The 22355-nt window shown below is 39.0% G+C and overlaps 1 protein-coding gene across 4 annotated transcripts in view, besides 1 other annotated feature; it reads left to right on the forward strand.

Annotated features, from left to right (window-relative positions):
• Positions 1-295: a silencer, noted in NCBI's record as "tiled region #1245; HepG2 Repressive non-DNase unmatched - State 15:Elon". NCBI's record gives its function as "represses a minimal TATA promoter and a strong SV40 promoter by Sharpr-MPRA in HepG2 cells {active_cell/tissue: HepG2}" and the evidence as "EXISTENCE:reporter gene assay evidence [ECO:0000049][PMID:27701403]".
• The window catches only part of NFIA (nuclear factor I A), a 385562-nt gene that overhangs the window by 275850 nt on the left and 87357 nt on the right, over positions 1-22355 (forward strand). For all 4 annotated transcript variants that reach the window (NM_001145511.2, NM_001145512.2, NM_001134673.4 and 1 more), the window contains one exon: positions 6071-6198. In NM_001145511.2, the coding sequence (NP_001138983.1) occupies positions 6071-6198 (128 nt within the window). The remainder of the gene's footprint in view (positions 1-6070; positions 6199-22355) is intronic.

The raw sequence follows: 22355 nt of genomic DNA on the forward strand, positions 1-22355 counted from the left end.
CAGTGTCATGCCCACAGCAGACATTACAGCTCAGTGCCAGCTCTTTTCCCACCGAGCCCCCAAAGCTCTCAATATCCAGTTTACTGGAGTTGCCCTAAAAGGTGAAACCCATTTGATATCCTGGTGTGAGGTTATACAAATGGAAGTAGTCACTTGCATAACCTCAAGTGAGGGTGGGGCCAGACCACAGACCCCATTGTATTGAGAGACCTTAAAAACAGTAAAGCTAGAGTAGTGTAACCTGATAATGATTCTGGGGTTCTTGCTCCCTTTAACGTCACAAAGCCAAAATCAAAATGAAGCATTTTTGCAAGATCGTGTTGTCTCTAGATAACCTGTACCAGAGGGAAAGGGATTAGGCATTAAACCCACAGTATTCTTTTACAAATTGGCTTTAGCACTGGACTGTGACAACAAAGAATAGAATGGTACAGAACGATCTTTAATGTTTGTGTACTTTGCAGAAAAATGTCTGACAAAGGTATATTCCTCCTAAAGCAAGTACCTGAGTCTTATGATTTAAAACAATGCCCAAATTATAGAACTTTTCCTTGGTGCACACTCGTTCTTACCTTGCCTTTATATATTTTAAACATCACTACTTTAAAAAAAAGATCAACTTAGTCATCCCTAATACCTTGAAGACAGTTAAAGAAACAGGTATTCCCTTAATATAACTATCAAATCCTACCATCATCTTTCATGTTGTTTAAATGTTCCCTTTAGTTCCCTGTAGTATCAGCTCCTCAGGGGGACAAAAAAGTCACACATCCAAAGTATATTTATAATAGAAGAAAGAGATTGTGAATATATTTGGGTGTTCATACATTTTGAGGATTTTGAATGTTTGCTGATGGGAGAGACCTTGTGTGTAACTGTACTCAGTCAACATGAAAAAGCTTTGCAAATACCTGTGGGCAGTGATTAATTTAAAAGTTTATGGGCTGTTTGTTTTTCATGTGTGTGCTGTATGTGTACCATGTACCTCCCAAACAGTGTTTCCCCCTTTTTATGTTTTCACACAATTCTCCAGCTATGTTTTATTATCTTTTGTGACTCTCTGAGAGGAAAGCTCATTATGAATGTCATTTAAAAGGCCAGTGTCGTTCTCATATTCTGCAAATAACTAACCCTGATAAGGAGCTAATTATAACCTGCATCAGTAGTTAATAACCCGGTAATATGTTTGTTTTACTCTCATTAGGCTCTTCCTAGGATGATTTTTAAAATTCTTTAAATACATAGATTCAGCAGAATTAACGATGTACAGGTTAGAAAGTGTGCCCAGAAGAATATCTCAGATTTATATATAGAAATGTTCACCGATCAATATGTCTTCCTGCTGTGCCAATATTAATGGGTCATTTTCTCTGTGGCAGGCACCATATTAGGTGAGTTGTATACCTGTTCTGATTTATTCTTCACAATAATTTGACAACACACACAGTGTTTTCATTTAAACAGTGGAGCAACACAAAGCTCAGAGAAGTTAAGTAACTTGCCCAAAGTCACAGTCCTAGTGAATAGAGGAGTCTCCATTCACACTCAGGTCTGTTGGAACTTTAAAAATATGCTCTTTTCACACAGAATCCTCTTGAGAATAGGACTGACTCTTTTAGTAAGGAACAACAGAATATGAGGTCCTAAAAAAGGAGTTTCTAGCATCTCTATTCCTCCCTGGCATTTAGTGTTTGCCGTCTTGAGTTATTCTTAACCATCTTTGAGGCCAACACGTGTGCAGCCTCCCCATCTAGACAGTGAGTCCCTTGAACGACAGCGTCTAGCTCTTCCCATTCAGCAGCGAACGTTATTAGTAAGAAACAAGGACACCGTCCTTGGCACCATGGGTGTAAAGTCAAATAAGAGGGGCTTTACAATCTAGTGGTAGAGACTGAGAAGTGGGAATTTTCAGTTCAGGGTCCTATGAACACTCAGGAAAGTTAAGGCATTTTGCAGTCTTAGGAATGCTAAGTAAGACTTCTAGGCCGTAATTACACAGAGTAGGAATTAAGATATTTGGAATTAGGGTAATACTTTTACCTTATTTTTTAGATATAATTGCTAGAAATACAAGAAAAAATTCCACATACAAGAAGAAATAGTGCATCACTCCTTAGGAGAATATTCATCCTTTTCGTGTAGATCTTACAGATACTTTCCTGCTTCCCTCAAGTGTTTCTGGGAAAATGAGTGTGTTAGAAAGAGCAAGAAACCAAAATCAATGACTGATTCATTTCAATAGATAGATAGGTAGGTAGATAATGTGATGCAATGGTACTGACTGTAAGTTCTGTACCCCTTCAGGGTAAACATCTTCAAAATCATAGAAAGAGCAGTGTAAAAATTGGGATACGATACATTTTTTATTCCAAAAAACTTTATCAAGATAAACCAGCTGTCAAAAGTTTGTGAAGTCAGAGTAAAGTTGTCTCGGAAGCCTCCACCTGTGCTTCCTAACTTGCTTCATTCCTGATCTTTTTATCTTTTCCATGCTCCCTCCAGATGTTAATTTTTTTTTTTCTCCAATAGAGACAGAGTCTCTTTCTATTACCCAAGGTGAGTGCAGTGATCATAATTCACTGCAACCTCGAAGTCCCGAGCTCAAGCAATTCTCCTGCCTCAGCCTTTGAAGTAGCTAGGACTGTAGGCATCTGCCACCACACGCGGCTGATTTAAAAAATATTTTTTTTTGTAAAGACAAGGTCTCGCTATGTTGCCCACGGTGGTCTCTCAACTCCTGGCTTCAAGTGATCCTCCTGCCTTGGCCTCCCAAAGTGTTGGAATTATAGGTGTGAGCCACCATGCCCAGCCCTCTTTTGTCAACTTCTGAAAATCCTTGCTTTCAAACTAAGGCATCAACCGATAGCTATAGAATCTTTCAACTCTAGGATTTAATACTGGCTTGGGGTATTTGCATTTTATTAGAGGATGCCAAGGAAATCAAAACCTTTAAAAACTCAGAAAAGTATCAATAATGGGAGAATGATGGACAATGGAGTTGGCCTTTGGGGCTAGATCTAACTGAATTATACTTGGATGAATCCATGTCACATGTATTTGTATGGCTGTTTCTAAGTCAGTAGCCCAATTCAGCAGTTTTTTAGTATCTTCTGTTAGCCAGACACTGTGGTAGGCACTAGAGATTAAAAAGTATATAGTCATTTTCCCTGAAGATCTTACAGCCCCATCAGAACATATAGGCTTCTCATTTTATTTGCCAGAGTACTTCAGGGAAATGTTTATTTTTTTCTAACATGTATTCTTTCTGTTTCCAAGATGATTTCCAGTGGCTTTCCATTTTAAAACAACAGGTAATATTAAATGTAGAAAGAGGCCAGAAACCATGTGGAAAAAAATTGTTATAGCAGGAGCCTGAACCAAGAGTTATGCCTTAAGTTTAGCCCTGAGCTTCCTGGTTGCCAAGGCAAAAAGGGTTATATAGTTTGCATTTCTAATAAAAGGATACAAGATAAATTTGTTCAAAGAGACCATATTTTTCTGATTATGTTTTGTAAGGAATTCGCTGTGTATATCGTCTTATAAAGGACTCCCATTAGATGTAGTTTTACATAAAATATAGAAAAGTTCTTCAGTGGCTATTTTTCATTGAACTTTCAAGGAAAGCCCAGCAAAGAACATTAAATAAGCATTAAAGGCATTTCCTTTGAGTACTAAGCTAGCATGGCACAGTTATGTTGCTTTCCTGTGGTCTGGCTTTAATGAGAATAGAACTTAATGGCTAAGAATACTGGAATGCCAACATTAATAATTAGAATTTCTTGCCATAAATTGGCCCTCCACATTTTTTCATTCAGATTGCTGCAATAGCTTAACTGTCTCCCTGCCCTAGGCTCCATTTTCCTGTTTTCCCCTTTGCCTTTCTAAATCTATCATCTGCACAATTACCAAAGTAACTTTTCTAAAATATAACTCCCCTGTCATTCCCTGTTTAGATTATTTCGGGGAGTCTACATTGCTTATAGGAGAAAGTCCAGACGTGCAATATCTTCTATAACCTCCACCCTTCTCACTCGCTGTGCCCCTTCTTCCCCACCTCAGCCATCCTAAACAGCTGGCAGTTCTCTGAACATATCACACTTCACTCACAATGTGGCTTCTTCCTGATAGGCTCCTCCCTTCTGGGGGTTATGTTCGAAATATCTGATAACCTGTGTGACATGAGCATACCAATTAGAACAGACACTGCCCTGCTTGCAGGGCTTTCTTTGGCTAGGTCCTGGAATGCTCCTGATCTGCAAGACATTAACCCTTTAGATTTCGGACTGTGAGGGTGTCTGGGACAAAGAAGGGGAGGCAAGGTTGGAAGAAATGTATGGAGTTTAAGACAATGACAGTTTGCCCATTGATAATATTTTTAATACCAAATGGCTGCCTGAGTGGTACATCAGCTGTAGAGCAGCCCTGCCTCTGCCCTTTCCTTCATTCTTCCCTGTCTCCTTGACCCTCTTGAAGATAGCTCAGGAGCCATTTCCTCCAGGAAGCCTTTCCCGAACCCCTGGCTCATCACTGTCTCCATTGTGTGACCCACTGTACCCTGTGTGTGGTTCCATCATAACTCCTATATTTCTCTTTTGCACAGTTTTGTTTGCCTCTCTGTCTCCATGTCTGACTCATCTCTATATCCCAGCACTTTGCACAGCACCTGGCATGTAGGATGCGCACAGTAGGTATTTCATGAATGAAACATACGAAAACTTCTGTCCCCTGAAACGTGAAGAAGAGATTTCCCAACACGCACTCCCAGTAGATATGAAATCTACTCATCCTAATAATATGGGTAGATTTGACAGTTTTATCACCCCTGCAAACTTCCTGATTCTGTGGCATTCAATTAAAACAACTACAGCAAGCATAGCAGCAGGCGGCATTTCACTACGTTTTCACTCCTGAAGCCTCAAACTGGGGAGAATATTCAGTCCTTCAACTGGAAAAAATGAGATATATTCTGAAAGTTTCTTGACCGTACCTCTCCAAAAAATGAAAATCCCTACCCTGATGGAATAAAACTTTGTTTTGATAATCTTTGCATAGAGAAAGCACATAAAAGTCATTGGGCCACTCTTTTTTTATGTCTCTTGTTCTCAGGGGACAGAGCACTCCTTCTTCCTTCCTTTTTATTTGTTTTGTTCACTGATTTATTTCTAGTATTTAGAGCAGGACCTGGACTAGCTGTGCAGTAAATGTTTTTTTGAATGAACAACTCCAAGTGGAAGATGGGAAAATGTGGCAAAAGAAAAAAAAAGCAATCCAAACTTTTCATTTTCTTTTCTTTTCTTTCTTTCTTTTTTTTTTTTTTTTTTTTTTTTTGAGACAGAATCTTGCTCTGTCGCCCAGGGTTGAGTGCAGTGGCACGATCTCGGCTCACTGCAACCTCCACCTCTCAATTCAAGCAATTGTCCTGCCTCAGCCTCCCGAGTAGCTGGGATTACAGGTGCCTGCCACCACACCCAGCTAATTTTTGCACTTTTAGTAGAGATAGGATTTTACCATGTTGGCCAGGATGGTCTCAAACTCCTGACCTCAAGTGTGATCAGCCTGCCTTGGCCTCCCAAAGTCCTGGGATTACAGGCTTGAGCCACCATGCCCAGCCCAATCCAAGCTTTTCCTGAAGGATCACGAGCCCTGCTTTTTATCCTTTCTGAGGTTCCAGCAGGGATTAAATTGATGCCCAGGTTCATTGCTGATGGCCAGGCCCCAGCCACCACCTGTGGAGATAGGAAATATGTGGCCTTACTCCCAACACTTCCAGGTGGAGGCAGGAGCTAGAGCCAGCCGCTTATTCCTCAAAGGAAACAGGAACAGGATGTGGCAGCAGCAGCAACTTGATTGACAATAAAAATCAAACTCAGACACTTGGAACAACACAGACCCAAGACTTTGTTCTACATCCAGTGACTCACCAGACTGAACAGAAGTTTAAAAGGAGTCCTAGAACTACATTAAGTTGCCCAATTGCTTCCTCCCTTGGCTTTCTTTCAACCAGAGGTGCAGTGTCCAAGAGAAAGGTGGTTGCGATTGCTTTTAAACATGCACCCATTTGTTATTTCAGCTCCACAAAGCGCCTCAAGTCTGTGGAGGATGAAATGGACAGTCCTGGTGAGGAGCCATTTTATACAGGCCAAGGGCGCTCCCCAGGAAGTGGCAGTCAGTCAAGTGGATGGCATGAAGTGGAGCCAGGTAAGCAGAGTGGCGGCACGGGCATGTGGCTAACACTGTGAAACTGAAAATACGTGTGGGGTCCCATGCCACGCATAAAAGTGAAGAAAGAAAGCTCAAGGTAGTTCACTTTTTCAGGATGAGCACTTGTTTGTATTGTAATCTGATTGCCACATTCATAAAAGGATGGCTGTGCAAAGCAGTAGTAATTCAACTGAAATGCAAGACTGGTGAGATGGTGTATGATTTTCTGCTCTTACATATTTTCCCCTACACCACAATCCAGCATTTGATTTGCTTTTGGTTTTTTTGTTTGTTTTGTTTTGTTTGTTTGTTTGCTTTTTTGAGACAGAGTCTTGCCCTGTCGCCCGGGCTGGAGTACAGTGGCATGATCTTGGCTCACTGCAACCTCCTTCTCCCTGGTTCCTCCTTCTTCTGCCTCAGCCTCCCGAGTAGCTGGGATTACAGGCACCTGCCACCACGCCTGGCTAATTTTTTGTATTTTTAGTAGAGACGGGGTTTCACCATGTTGGCCAAGCTGGTCAATTTTTGTATTTTTAAAAGAGACGGGGTTTCACCATGTTGGCCAGGCTGGTCTCAAACTCCTGACCTTGTGATTCACCCACCTCGGCCTCCCAATTGTTTTTGTTTTTATACTATCTTTTGGTTTAGTTTTTGAAATTATCTTTTAATCCTAATAAAAATCTATCAACTTTTTCAGCAGGATCGATAACATTCGAAAGAAGAATGGGTTCCTTGCGATAGTTTAGACTCAGATTTTTATATAATAAGGACACTTTGCAATATTTTTCCTATTACTGGATATCATCATGATTATTTTTCTATTTAAATGGAACAACTCTCTTTATTCTGATCTGTACTAAACTGAACAAATGATGACTGCTGGTCTAATCTCCTGGGGTAGTCTAATCTTGGCTCTGGAGTCTTGGGAGTAATATGGATAAGTCTGATTGCAAAAACTATTTGAAACCCTTTCCAATGTCTAACACGTGGTTTAGAGGGAATCTTCTCCAAAGCTTCCTGAATATGGCAAGTCCAATGGGTATAAAGGATAGAGTATGTGCCTTGAAATCAGACAGTTGGAGTGCCAACCTGGCTTCAACTCCTGCTGGCTGTGTGATTGTGGGCAAGTTACCTAGCCTCTCTGAGCCTGTGTCTCCCTTTTTATAATCTGACAGTACTAATAGCTATTTCCTAGCATAGCTACTACCTAGCATAGAGTAAGTATGAAAATACTGTTCTATGGCCATCCTTCCCCAGCTTTTGCTTCAGAGTTAATTCCCTGCAAGTACAGACGAGCACCAAGAAAATTTCTGAACCAACCTCTTCATCTATAAATCCTAGCTCCCTTGTCTCCTCCCTTAATTTTTTTTCAAAAGACAATGCTCAGGGGATGTGACTATAAAGGTGTAGCACGGGGAAAATGTTGGGGTGATAGAACCATTCTGTATCCTGATTGTGGTGGTCACAGTAATCTATACAATCGTTAACATTCACAGAAGTACATACCTCCCTGCTCAAGTTAATTTTACTGTATCATAATTAAACACAAAACAAAAACACCTCAGGCCCATTGGCGGTGTCTTTTATCTTGCCCCTGCTATTAAAATGCAAAAATGTCTCTTTGCTTTGCTTCTGCCTAGTCTTTCATTCATTCACTCATTGGATAGTCTTCACTGGGGACTTTCTCTGTATGAAGCACTATGCCAGGTTCTGGGAACTCAAGGATAGATGGGAAGGTTATGGCCCCTGCTCTCAAGGAATTCACAGTCAGAGGTGGGAAACAAACACATAAGCAGATCATTATACGGTGATATGGGAAGCGCAGAGATGGTGGTGTTAGTCTTCCGTGACTTCTGTTTCTAATTAGTACCAACCACAGCACTCAAGGTGTGGTGGTTCTTCTATGAAGGTCACACATCATCTTTTCTCCGAATTCGTGTTCACATCAGTTTGCCTAAAGTGCCTAAGAAATAGTCCCAGCCCTAAATGAGAAGGAAAATGCTGACTCTCACTGCCACTACCCGCATCATCAGCATGACCTCTATATAGTGCCAATGAAAAGTTTATGTGCTATTAAAAAATTAAAAGATGGAAAACTTCTTTGAACCCTTTTTCAAAGGCTAATTAGAGCCCTAGTCAATTTACCTGCTTCAGTGAAAATCAGAATTAAACATATAGGTTTGGTACATTTGTGCTTGATTATTGTGTAGATGCATTTTTGTGCATATTGAAGCTGCTTTATTAGGTTGAGGTACTCAGAGCTCCCCCATCATGAGGCTGAGCTCTAGGTCCTTGCATTTAATTCCTCTGGGTATATTGGGGGCTGTGGAGGTTGATTGATAATTACAGAATATTTTGACCTAGTGACTCTTTTATTCAGGGCAATTCCTATTCCTATCTGTACATTATGATTCAAACGATCATAAATTTTAACATTTGAATACCTGAATCCTTTGTAGTCATTAAATAACTGAAGTTTAATGGCTGAATCCTTTTTGGTAAGAGGTGTGTGTGTGTGTGTGTGTGTGTGTGTGTGTGTGTGTGTGTGTACGTACACATATATATTCTTAGAGAATCCCTCACAGTTGTATTCCTGGACTGACTCTCCATTCTCTATCCCCATTTCATTACAGAAAAATGCAGTTTCATGGTATATGTTTATAGGGAGTGATAGAGGACAGTGGATAAACGTACATTTGGCCATACTCAGCAAGCGCAGAAAGTCATAATTGCAACAAGGCCTGAGGGGACATTAAAACTCAACTGAAGGATGTTGCACATGTTCTTGGTGACTTTGGTGTCATTAACTCACACCAGCCATTTTAAATGGATAATTTATGCTGCCAGATGGTCCTTTTTGGGGATTTTCCATAAAGCCCAATCCCCTTTTTGGCACAGAGAGCACCTTTATGTTGTTCCCACACTTATGCAGGCCTGCATAGCTTTTCCCCAGGGGTACAGTTAAATTGAGTAGGAGGCTTTTAGTAGTTCACATGTAAATTACCTTCAGAAATATGTTGGGAGTTATGTATATCTGAATGCACCAGCAGCCTCTTGGTTGCCTACATTTGGGATAATTCTCTCAAACAAGTACTAAGGATACTGTGTTTAGGCCTCAGATGTGACACAGGAAGCAAGGCCTGTACCTGCTCCTCACTCAGAATGCTTTGGTTTCCGTTTACCTGCCTTAAAATGCTTTTCCAGGACTCCCTGGCCAAAAGAGGGCCAAAGGTTGCCAGAAGAGACAAATTTCCTAGAGCAACAGGAAGATTGTGGAAAGTAAAACAAACCAGACATGCAGTAAATTACATGGGCTATTTCAAATGTCTTTTGTAGTATCCTGTTCCCCATTAGTTTATCTCAGCACTTTTAGTGCACAGCTCTTATTATCTGGGAAGAAGGGCATAGGAGATTAAAGATGATGTTAGTTTAAAAACATCAGACAACTTCAGAATGACTTTCGCTTCTCTTACAATGCTGCATTTGTCTCTCGTACTTAGTTTTGTTTCCCAGTTATCTCAAAACTGGGTTAGATACGAAGCTTTGAAGCAAATCATGAATTGACAAAACGAGTCCTATGAAATTCTATCAAGCACAAATGCACATATCATCAACTCTTGTTTATCTGTACAAATGAAGAATTACAGAGAAATTGATAATGCAGATAAACAGGAAAGAAACCAATACACAGCGCCCACATTGGGTCAGACACTCATGTTGCTTTCAAATATATGGAAAAATTCTAGTTACAATTGAGTACCTACTGTGTACCAGGTTTTTAAAAAATTAACCTCCTTTAAAATATGCAAAATATAATGATCCTGCCTCTAAAGAGATAAAAACTGAGACTCATAAAAGGTCAAGTGACTTGCCCAAGCCCACACAGATAGTAAATCTGTGGATCCAAAATCCATATTTGAAACCAAATCTGACTTCATAGTCTAAGTTTATCTTCTACACTCAGTAACCTCTTTTACCATAAACATTTGGAGCAGCATTTTAGGGTCTCATGTCCTGGACTGGTACTTTAGTTAAAACGTTATAAAGCCGGGTGTGATGGCTCACGCCTGTAATCCCAGCACTTTGGGAGGCCGAGGTGGACGGATCACCTGAGGTTGGGAGTTCGAGACCAGCCTGACCAACATGGAGAAACCCCATCTCTACTAAAAATACAAAATTAGCTGCGCATGGTGCTGCATGCCTATAATCCCAGCTACTCGGGAGGCTGAGGCAGGAGAATTGGTTGAACCTGGGAGGTGGAGGTTGCAGTGAACCGAGATCGTGCCATTGCACTCCAGCCTGGGCAACAAGAGCAAAACTCCGTCAAAAAAAAAAAAAATTATAATAAGAAACAATAAATAACTCATGAGAGAGACCTGAAAAATATTCGATTTTCCTTATCCCAAAGCCTTGTAATACAACTTAATCTAGAGAAGAAATATAGATTATTAAATATACATAGGACACAATATATAAGCAAAGAGTATTAACTGTTAACAAAGTAAACTATCGTTTTCATTTATAAAATCAAATAACCCTCAGCAGTTAGGTCTTTGTTCAAATAGTAGCTCATCACACAGGCCCTCAGTGATCTAAAATAGCTGCTGACCCTCACTCCATCATCCTATAACTCACAACACTGTTTTGCTTTCTTTACATCTGCATCTACTATTTTTTTTTTTTTTCTGAGACAGAGTCTTGCTCTATCGCCCAGGCTGGAGTGCAGTGGCGCGATCTCAGCTCACTGCAACCTCCACCTCCGGGTTCAGGTGATTCTCCTGCCTCAGCCTCCCGAGCAGGTAGGACTACAGGTGCATGCCACCATGCCTGGCTAATTTTTGTATTTTTAGTAGAGACAGGGTTTCATCATATTGGCCAGGCTAGTCTCAAACTCCTGGCCTCAAGTGATCCTCCTGCCTCAGCCTCCCAAAGTGCTGGGATTACCAGTGTGAGCCCACCACGCCAGGCCATCTCTCTGCTATTATTGTCTGTTTTCTCTCTCTAGAATATATACTTCATGAACAGTGGGACTTAGTCTGTCTTTTCCATTGCTGTATCTCTAACATCCATAACAGTGTCTAGCACATAATAGGTATTCAATAAATATTGATTGAATGAATGAAGCGATAAAGCAGAGAATTTGGGGTGCTTTCAATAAACTTGAAAGCAGAATTTGCTATCAAGAATACTCTCAGAATTGGTGTTTACTACACTTTCAATTTGTAGGCTTTCAGTCAAATCCAATTACTAGCAAGTCGTAAGCAGAACAATTGCTTAGGCTCAGCCAAGGACCTCTTGACGAGCAGCAGTGCATTGACTTTATTACAAGTATCCCTCACCTGAAAGTGTGTTCCTTTAAGTGAATCAAACCTTTTTTAAAAAAACAAATAATAATTCTGTATTATTTCTAAGTTTGTTGTTTAGTATTAGCTCCGTATTAAGAATCCCAACAGTGAATCCTTTGTAGAACATTTTATGTAGTATAGACAACCTCCCTGACTTACCTGTGAAAAATTCAGATTTCCATACCAAATGTTCTCTTCTACAAGTGTAAGGAGCACCCATATGAGACACTTCAGACCCTTGCTGCTCCAAGTGTGGTCTGAGGACCTGCAACATGGCATCACCTGGGGGCTTACTAAAAATAGAGAACCCTGGCCGGGCATGGGGCCCAAGGTGGGAGGATTGCTTGAGGCCAGGAGCTTGAGATCAGCCTAAGTAACATAGCAGGACCCTGTCTCTACAAAAAAAAATTTTTAATTAGCCATGCATAATGGTGTGTGCCCGTAGTCCCAGCTACTTGGGAGGCTGAGGCAGGAGGCTTGCTTGAGCCGAGGAACTCAAGGTTACAGTGAGCTATGATTGTGCCATTGCACTCCAGCCTGAGCAACAGAGTGAGACCCTGTCTCAAAAGAAAAGAGAAACAAACAGAAAAACAGAATCTCACGCCCCACCTAGACCAACAGAATTTTAACAAGATCTCCCGGTGATGCTTGTGCATGTTACACTTTGCAAAGCACTGATTTAGGCTGCTTTTTTGTTCCTTTAGGTGGGTTCTCCCTACTCAGTACTTGTCTGGAAGCCACCTTAACTTTAAATGTCACGCTCTCCAACCGTTCTCTCTATGTTAAAGTAGGTTCTCTTTAAAACAATTCTAGATAGGTAGAAATCTAGCCTATTTTCAAATAGATTAGAAAAGATTGGATTCTGGGTGACTCTAGATACCTCACTATAAGAAAAACAATTCTCTTGTCTCCCTCTCTGTCCCATATTCCTCCAGTTTAGGGCCTGCTGCATGAAAAGGAATGGCTGGTCTTCTAATCATTATCATTAAAGTCAAGCCAAGTTGTTGAATCCTTATTAAGTGCTGATTGTATGCAGTATACTAGAGTAGATACAGAGAGGACTCCAGCAAGTCCCTGTCTCCAAGGGCAAACCTCTGAATTTCCTCAAGTGTCAGTCACTACCTGTAAGGTGGGAACTGTTCCTTCTGCTCCATCTCTGTCACAAAGTTATGACAGATGAGGTAATGAAGTCCAAAGTCCTTTGTGAAAATTAATATTCTCTAATCACGTGAAATATCATCATTAGGATTACTGAGGCAGCCAGGCTTACCCAGCTGAGGGTAGTTGAAAGCAGACAGGGTTAAGTGTCACAGGAGTAAAAGAAAAGAGCTGTTAAATCTGGAGAATAAGGGATAGTTTCCTTAAAAGGTGGCAATTAAACTGGATTTAGATGGAATCAGACTGAGAAATGTTCAAGTCTCACTTGAAAGTGAGACTTGTCTCTTAGTCTTTTGATTGTTAGTATATATAAATTTAAGTCTTCTTCCTAAGTTGAAAGGCAGCTCTGTGGCTGTTCTGTGAGCCTTTCTCAGGTTATATTTGTCCCCGAAGTTAACGATTTATACCAGGGGTCCAGTGGGCTTCATGGATGACTGCGTTGCACCACTTTCAGATTTGAGACCGCATCTGCATTAAGTACAGACATATCAGTAAGTTTTGGCAGACCTAAAAAGTAAAGCAAATTTTTTTATTGTAAAAAAAAATGAAATTACAGTACTTTTCAGTGAAGTTCAGTACTGTGTTTCAAATATATGCATAAGAAGCTACTTAAATTTTCTCCTGTAGAAAAACATTCAAAATTCCAAATGCCTTCAATTATACTGGGATTGTAAAACAATTAACAGACACAGTTACATCCACCAACATGTTGAAAGTTTCAAAACAGTTTAGTGAAAGTTTTGAAGTCAAATTTGATAAGGAATAAATTTAGTTTTATTTTTATAAATAACTTTTGGAGATACATTTCTCTGCAAAGAGTAAGTTGTTCTCATTTTTGAAGGTCAAAATTAAGTACTTTAGGCCGAGCACAATGGCTCACACCTGTAATCCCAGCACTTTGGGAGGCCGAGGTGGGCAGATCACTTGAGGTCAGGAGTTTGAGACCTGCCTGGCCAACATGGTGAGACCCCATCTCTGCTAAAAACACAAAATTTAGCTGGGCGTGGCGGCGCCCTCCTGTAATCCCAGCTACTAGGGAGGCTGAGGCAGGAGAATCGCTTGAACCCAGGAGGCAGAGGTTGCAGTGAGTCAAGATTGTGCCATTGCACTCCAGTCTGGGCGACAAGAACAAAACTCCTGTCTGAAAAACAAAAATGAAGTATTTTAATAACATGTTCTCTGTTCCTATCACAATGATTAAGAAACACAGTTTTAAAAAATTGTTTAAAGGCATCTGTCAAAGAATATTTCGGTAAACATCTGGTCAGTCAGCGACCCAGGGCATTCAGAACTAGGGGTCAGTGTCACAACTACTGGCAGCATAGTTGAATTTTGCAGACTTATGTTAGTCATTGTAATTTTAAATATCACATATTAGGTTCACCTGGATTCCCAACTCTGCTGGTCCTAATTTGACTGCCAACAGTCATTTATCAATTGTAAGAGTGGAGGAAGTCTACCAACTTAGATTTCTAGCTGAGACACAGGGGAAACCCATTATCAGTGCCAGTAAAAAGGCAGCGACTGGTAACAATAGTGCTTTGATCATGGACACTCCACTGCACTAGCATATATTAGAGAAAATGATTAAATCTCCCATCATCTCTTGCTGGAGTAGGAATAGTCACTGCTACAGAACATTGCCATGGGATCGATGTCTTGGCTTTTCTTCTGCATTTATGGAGCAGTAGGAAAGCATCATCTGGGACCACATCCTCTTCTATGATCTCATATTGGCACCTGCCCATTAGAGACTGGTACACCAGGGGACATTGGTACAGTAACAAGGGGCCTCTTCTTTACGAACCCTTCTTTATCAGAGAAATTTCACCCAAATAAGGGGTTATGACAGGAAAGCTGTATTACCAAATGAGCACTGTAACCACCCTTCAAAAATCCCTTGCCTTCTTTATCAAGGCTGTTTTTTCTTAATGTCAGAAAAGGGCCTAAAACAGCTCCTTGTAATTGGAGTCTAAAAGGTTACCTCTTAGAGGAAAAGAAATATTCTTCTCATACACACACACATATACTCTGTGTATGTGTTATATACATATATAATAAAGCATGATCCAGAAAACTGTTTGGATTCCTGAAGCCTCTAGTACCTGGCGACTTAGTAGCCATTCAATCAATATTTGTTTAATAAATAAGTAAATAATAAGATGGAGATCACACACGTCTCACTTTGTCCTTCGAGTAGGATCAAGCGCTCAGAAGCAGAGCGATGTATACGTTTGTCGAACGAATGAGCGTTGCTCCGCTTGCATCGGAGAACCCAGATGTACAATTTTGTGAATGCAGAAGCTCTCAGGAAAACAGATGCTGCATTTCAGCTGGTCTTGTCTGAATAAATAAATTACCCAAATCTCCAAATTTTTAATTTCATGTTTGAAAATGAAGCTGTGTAAATATTCTAGAAGGGGAGGAAGAAGGAGATGCAGTGTATACATTAGGTTTATATGTGAAATCCTCCTCCCTGTGCCTGTCACCATCCTCAGTACAGCCCCCGTGGCTCAGGTGGCCAACTCATGGTGTGGCTTGGGTGGAGCATACTGTAAAGAGGAACATTAAAGCAAATTTCATTCCAACCACAGCAATCTTCATAGGCTTGCTGGGGAGGAAGATAAGTGAGAAATAGAATGTATTTTAAAGAGGAAAAAGTACAAATTAAGAATTTTAAAAGTTAGTCATTCTCATATTCTGCCATGAGCAAGCCTGAGAATTTTAGCAAACTACTTCTCTGAATTTTCATTTCCTCATATGTAAACATTGAGGACAATAAAACAGCCTTGCCTTCCTAACTCATAGCTTTGAAAAGATCAAATGAGATGATAAGAACAAGAGCTGCCATTTATTAAGCATCAGCTCTGTGTAAAAGTATCGTGCAGGGCACTATACATATTTTTAATATACGCAAAGTATATTTAATAAATCAAAATGCTGTAAAGAAATACTGTATATCCTTTTTAGGGGGTAAATACTTTGAAAACCCTAAACTTACTGTATGAATTTAAGATACTGTGAAATTTATTTGATAACATATATTACACCTCTGCATCTATTATATGCAAAGCACTGTGCAAAAATGATAGAAGAAGTATGAAAATAAGCAAAACAGAACTTGCCTTCAAAGAGCTTACAGCCCAGTGAAGGAAGGAAGGGTAACTGGTTAAATAAGTACCCAATGGCTGTAATAGATAAGATGTAGAGCACAGCAAGCTTCATATGGGTGAGGAGTTTATTCAGCGGCTTAGACCACAGTCCTCTGCTGTGCCTGCTTAAAATAGCTGGTGCATCAGCCATTTCATCGTTAAAGGAGCAGCAGTGAATACTGGCCCGTTTCCTTCGTTTCGTAATATCAGAGTCGAATCTTACTCCATCTCTAAGAAGCTTCTAGAGAGCTGACATACTAGGAAGTCCTCAAGAAGTGCATATACAAAAATACAGTTTATCATACTATACTCATGGACCCAAATCTCCCCTGCCTGAAACAGACAGTTTTCTGATTTGTAGATAATAGATTGGGTAGAATACAAGCAAATAATTTACTTGGAGGGAACAAAATTAATCTGAATGGAGATTAAATTCACCAGAGGGTAGAATAACCAGAAAGTGTAGTTGGAAGAGGAGGAAGGAAAGAAAAAAGACAGAGCGATCATTGATAGAAAGATAATAGATCAGACTTACCTAAGAGTATACCATGTTTTCCTATATCTAATATTATTTAAATATTTATAGAACTTAAATTGAAGGTAGTTTTAACCATAGATATAAAGATGAAAATACTTTAGTGATCTTACTTCCTGCGTTCTATCATATAAACACAGTGTAGCTATTTTATAGACTCAAGACAAGTTGATTAACAATAAATATATATTGGCTTGTATTTTGTCACTGCTGCTGAAATTTTAAATATATAAGCGTTTTATAAGTAATAGCAATAACTGATGTTTATTGAGCACTTACTATGGGCCACACATTGTTCTAAGCTATATGCACACATATATAAATATATATGTGTGCATACATATACATTCATTTAATTTGTAAAAAAGTGATACCACTAATACTATTGTTTGCAGACTTATTTCCCTCTCTCATAGGGTCTTATATTTTTCCTACATACTGATGATTCTCTTTAAACGTTAAATAACCTAATATAGCACCATCAGTTTATATGGAAATAAAGTTCTGTGGTTTTTGGCCATCAATGTTTTTAACAAAGTAGTTTGTTAACACTCCAGAATAAGTGGCTTTTACATGGGGAATTGGGGAGAGAGGGAAGAAATAAGTCCTTGGTCTGTGCAGATCCCAGAAGTCAATCAATAGTGTGTGCAGCACGCTGCTGTGCAGCAGTTTCTCATGAGGCTGTGCACATCCCAATTGCTTTCTGCTCAGCAGAGGATTACAATAATGCCTATTTATCCAGCTCTGTCCATCCAAGGATTTTAGATACATCATAAACTCATCAATTAATCAGAGACATGGCACCCATTTCAAAATGCTGGGAGAATTACATCCTGGAAGATTACGAGAAATGCTCACGTCGACAGAGTAAATCAAGAACTATTTCCTGATGGATTCCTGAATGGCACACCAAGTACTGAAATGAAGAGGGCTGTCTCCAGCACTGATTCACAAAGTATATCTCAAGTGGAAGAAAACTTCCGGAATAAAACGTCACTTTACTTTGAAGCATCTGTTAAACTTGAAAAATTAAACTGAGGTAGAATGGCAAAGCTCATTAAATATTAATACAATTAATTGGCTTCCCTCTTCAGAGTAAAGTATCACTGACCTCCCTTTCTTAACAATTAAAACCCCTCTGAAACCTTTGGGTTTTTTAAATACAGTGTAACTTTGGTTCTTGATTCTCTGGTCTTTGTCAAGTGAGGAATTCTTCCTGTGGTCCAGCACGCTCAGCCCACTGTGGGGAACTGGCTTTCCAGACAGCTGTGAATGTTCGGTATTTATTCAGACAATACTCCCACACTTTGATGATTTACTGTGGTCCAAGCATCTTGTTCCTCATTTTGAAGAAACATTCCAGTCTGTAGGTATCGTCTACTTTGTATGTAATGAGAGGTAGTTTAAAGTTTTCATTTGCGTAGCTGGAAGTGCACTCACGTCATTAGAAATTCAAGGAATGGCAACTCAATATCCATTTCTAATCTGAAGGGTCTTCCCTGCCCCTGCCATGTTAGCCCCACCCAGAAATCACTTAACTATGATTAGCTTCCAAGATTAGTGAATTCTAGGATAGCAGGATTACTTATGACTTAATGCCAGTCAGAATTTGCCATCTGCCTTTCAGCCATTTCATGAACCCAGCAGAAGAGAGCATTTATCAAAATGGCTGTGCAACACCCCTCATGTCTTAACACTCTTTAGGGACTTATATAAGCAACACTTCATGTTCGAATGTCAAAATCCACGTGTAAGGCTTAAAAGTAGTATGGGATGCTTAAGAATGCTTTTCAGGGCCAGTTATTCTTTGATATTTATCACTTCATGGTGCTGACACCTGCTTCTAATTTTAAGAGTTCGTTCTTCCAGTGGATTTTTTTTTCCTTCAGAAATCTTATCCTCAAAAGACTTAACTAGCAATTTTTCTTTTTTTGATGTGCTTGATGTTTTGATGAGTTTGTCTATCAGCATTGAAACCTTAACATACCTTTCATTTAGAATAAAAAAAAATCTTTGTGACACACATTTATTATATTGGATCACATAAATTTTTGCCCTGGCAGTACATTCGAAGACTTTTGCAGAGATATAATTTATTAGAAATGTCATTATCTGCCACTTGGCCTACTTGATAGTTGTCTTAAGTTGACAAAAGCTATAGACATAGATAAAGTCTTCCTTGAGGGAGCAATTCAGTAAATAACTTTCACCCAATACCCTTATTTGGTTGTCTTTCACACCCAAGGGTCAGGTTGGTGGCAATTGTCATTTGAGAGTTAGTAAGTGGAAAGACAAAGACAGAGAGGAACCTAGTTTTGTCTATTGAGACACATATGGAAATAGTCCTTTGGTTTGGGTGTAGCCAGCCTAGTTGTAGTGCCCAATGTGGTTTGCTTTCTTGTTTTTATCTTGTCTAAAGACCTTTCCCTCACAAGTTTCCTCACAAGTGCTGGATAAAGTTCATTGCATGAGTAGAAGAAGCCGCAAAAGATGATATATAGCTAGCAACCCGTTCTGATTGGTCTATGAAGAGTTGCCTGTATAAAATTGGATCCTTGTGTTCGGTTCCAAAAAAAGGTGTGAATGTGAAGAAGAAGTGTTAAATCATGACTCCAGAGAAAATGTCGGCCATGAGCAGTTTTTAGTTTAAGTGAAAACCAAACTTTAGGATTTGGACAAATAAGATGAGGAGAAAAAAGGGTGAATCATTAACTCCAATATGAAAGGATTATGGTGATCAAGTTTCACCCAACTTGAATAAGAAACCCAACAAAGACTATGACTGATGGAACTAACTCATTTACTTAATTGATATGCCAAACTCTGCCAAGCATTTACCCTTAGTGTCAAATAAGTAATTTTTAATAAAATATTTCTAAGATATGAAGACAGTTAAGAAAATAGCATGCTTTTTAATAATTGTACTCATAAGTAAATGGATCATTACATTGTCACAAAGAATGACAGTGAGCAGAAACAGCCTGCTAATCCCTCTTAGATAAGTATTTAACATAATTAGACAGACACCATCTCTTCTGTTGAATGTAGCATTAATCATTAGAAGTGCAACTTTACACAGCATACTTGTTTCTGATATGTCATTGTTGTTAAAAAAAAAAAAGCAAACTATTTTGTCAGATACAGTGCTTCAGAAAATGACTCATGTAGTTGTGTGATTTACATAAATACAGTTATTTCCCTTTTTATTGTTTTTTGTTTGCTTTAATAGTGTTTAATAGTAGTGTGGTCCTTTTACATCCATGAAGCTGCATTTGAGGTAAGTGGTTCATACATTTTGTTTTGCAAAATATCAGTATAGTGAACATACTTGAATTTGAAGTATTTTTAAGCTTTGAAGGGATCTTTTGGCTCATCTACCTAAACTGAAGGCACAACTCTTTCAGAGAAAGGTTTTCTTATAAGGAATGGGCTAGAAGTTTTCTGCATTAAATAAGAGCTGAAGAGAGAACCTCTTTCTATTAAAAATTTGAGGTTAAAATGATGGAATGTATTGCCCTCTTCCAGTATTCATAAGCACTACCTTTAAAAAAATTCATTTTCTTTTGCTGTGTAGCTTCTAGCTTGAACTATGAACTACGGAATACTTATAAAGTGATAGCAGCTCAATTCATTGCACAACGCTAGCTTCCCACTTTCTCTGTGATTCAAAGGCCTTCGAAGGCAAAGAATGGGGTTATTGAAGGATGGCAGGCAGATTTCACTAAGTAACAGGTGGAGGTCAAAGCAGTTTATTTGTGGGATGAACAGAGTGCAGAGATGAAAAAGCAAATGCTTTGCCATAATAAGATTTAGCAAGAAAATGCTGACAACACGAAGCCTTAGATTCTAGCTGACAGAACCTTTTCTCGTGTTCATTACTTGATTTCACAGTTCAAGCAATTTGAAGAGGGCTAAAATTTTCTTTCTTTTTCCCTTATGAAATGTTTCAATCAGTTTCAAATTTTTACTTTAGCTGGGTTCTCTGCTTGTATCCAAGGAACACTGGAATTAATAGAGCTCCAGCACAGGCGTATCCCAAACATGGACCCTCACAGACTATGCATCTCTTTCAAATTAAATTTTATCCATAGGACCCTTAAGCTCTAGCTCTCTATCATGTTTTAACTGACAGAAGAGAGTATATTTAAGTAAATACTAAAGTTCACATCATCAAGGCTAATGTTATATGCCAACGAAAGTATTCATAAGGGTGTTAACCAAGCTTGAACACTGAGTTACTTCCAGCTTGTTGGAGATGGAGAGGAAAAGCTTTCATTTTTTTCCCATTATACAGTTCTATATTTGTACAGTGAATATGTTTCGCTTTTGGAAGTTAAAAAAAAAAAGACTAAACATGCTGAACAATACAAAATAAGGTTTATCTACTGTTGTACAGCATGACCAAAAAAGTAAAAAGTTATTTGGTATCATATCATAGAGACCAGAGCTGTCCAATAGAATTTTCTGCAGTGATAGAGATGTTCTGTGTCTATACTATCCAGTATTCTAACCATGAGCCACATATGGCTACTAAGCCCTTGCAATGTGGCTATGCTGAGCAACTTAATTTTTAAATTCATTTAATTTTAATTAATTTAGATTTAAGTAGCCACATGTGGCTAGTAGCTACCATATTGGGCAGGGCAGATATAAGCCAAACATATGTATGATTGAGTTTTTTACTATTCAGCTGGATATCTAAGGAGAATGAATAAAACATTATGCTATTTTATACTATATGTATTGTTTATGCAAAGAAATAATTTGGTTTTCTCAGAAATGTCTTCTTTATCCTCAGTCCTTCTGTGAATGCGTATAATTGCTATGTTGAGCTAAAATCAGTCCTTTCCTGAACACATGGGGGGATGGGATGGCTAGGGGGCAGATGGAATGGGTAGGGAATCTCCAACCTCTTGTAAGTATATGGAGCATGTAACACAATTTTTTTTATTTCAGTCCTGTCACTGGGGTGTCTGTGTTTACCTTGAAAGGAGAGGAAATCCCCCAACTAGTCAAGAGATTTTATTTTTGGCCCAGAAACCAGATTTTTATATGACATTTTCCTTGTGTCTATTCTTTACTCTCTCTGGTTGTAAATTTTCACTCACAAATGAACATTTGGAATATATTACAGAACTCATCGTTTCTTTCCCCCTGAATAATCCATGTAATTTTTACTCCATACTCCCATTTTTTAAAAACTGAAGAAATCACTGATGTCCCCAAGCCATTTAAATTACCTGAACTTCTTTATGATGTGATAATTCTTTGGGAGTCCTTTTAGCTCATTTTCAATGGCTACATATAGAGTAAGAAGGATAAACCTCAGAAGCTATATTAACTTTCATTTATGCTCTCTATCATAAAAATGATTTTAAAACATTTTTATTGACTGAAAAAGGCTAAAAGTCAAAATAGTCTATTTTACCTTTTTATCGTTGAGTGTGCTAATCATAAAAAATTATATTAGAATGAACTCTAATGGATTTTATCATTAGGACACACATCTAACAAACGTGTGGTGTCTTCAACGACCTCCTTGTATCACGCAGCCTGTGTTTATGCTCACAAGAACAGAATGGTCCCTTAACCGTGGGATTCTTCTGTTCAGTCACAGCCTTTATTTGGCATCATGGTTAGAGATAATCTAATTACAAGGTATACTTTAAATGGTTCTAGAAAGGTCTTGTTCCTGCCTGTGGGGGAATTACTAGAGTGCAGTATAGCTCTGCATCTGGAAGAGATGTGTCTGAGTGTAAATCTGATGGTGGATGACTTGCAAAAGATGGTACTGGTACTCAGCATTCATGCTGGGCTTGAGAAATGTCACTGAAATTTATGTGGACACCATTAGTCTGATGGACATGACTGAGCTGTCTGTTCCCCACACTTAGATCTAGTGGAGTAGGGGAATCTGAATGCCTGAGTGTAAAAAAGAGTCACAAAGCAGTTAGCATCATTAAG

The sequence above is a fragment of the Homo sapiens genome, chromosome 1, assembly GCF_000001405.40.
Source record: "Homo sapiens chromosome 1, GRCh38.p14 Primary Assembly".
Classification (NCBI taxonomy): Eukaryota; Metazoa; Chordata; class Mammalia; order Primates; family Hominidae; genus Homo; species Homo sapiens.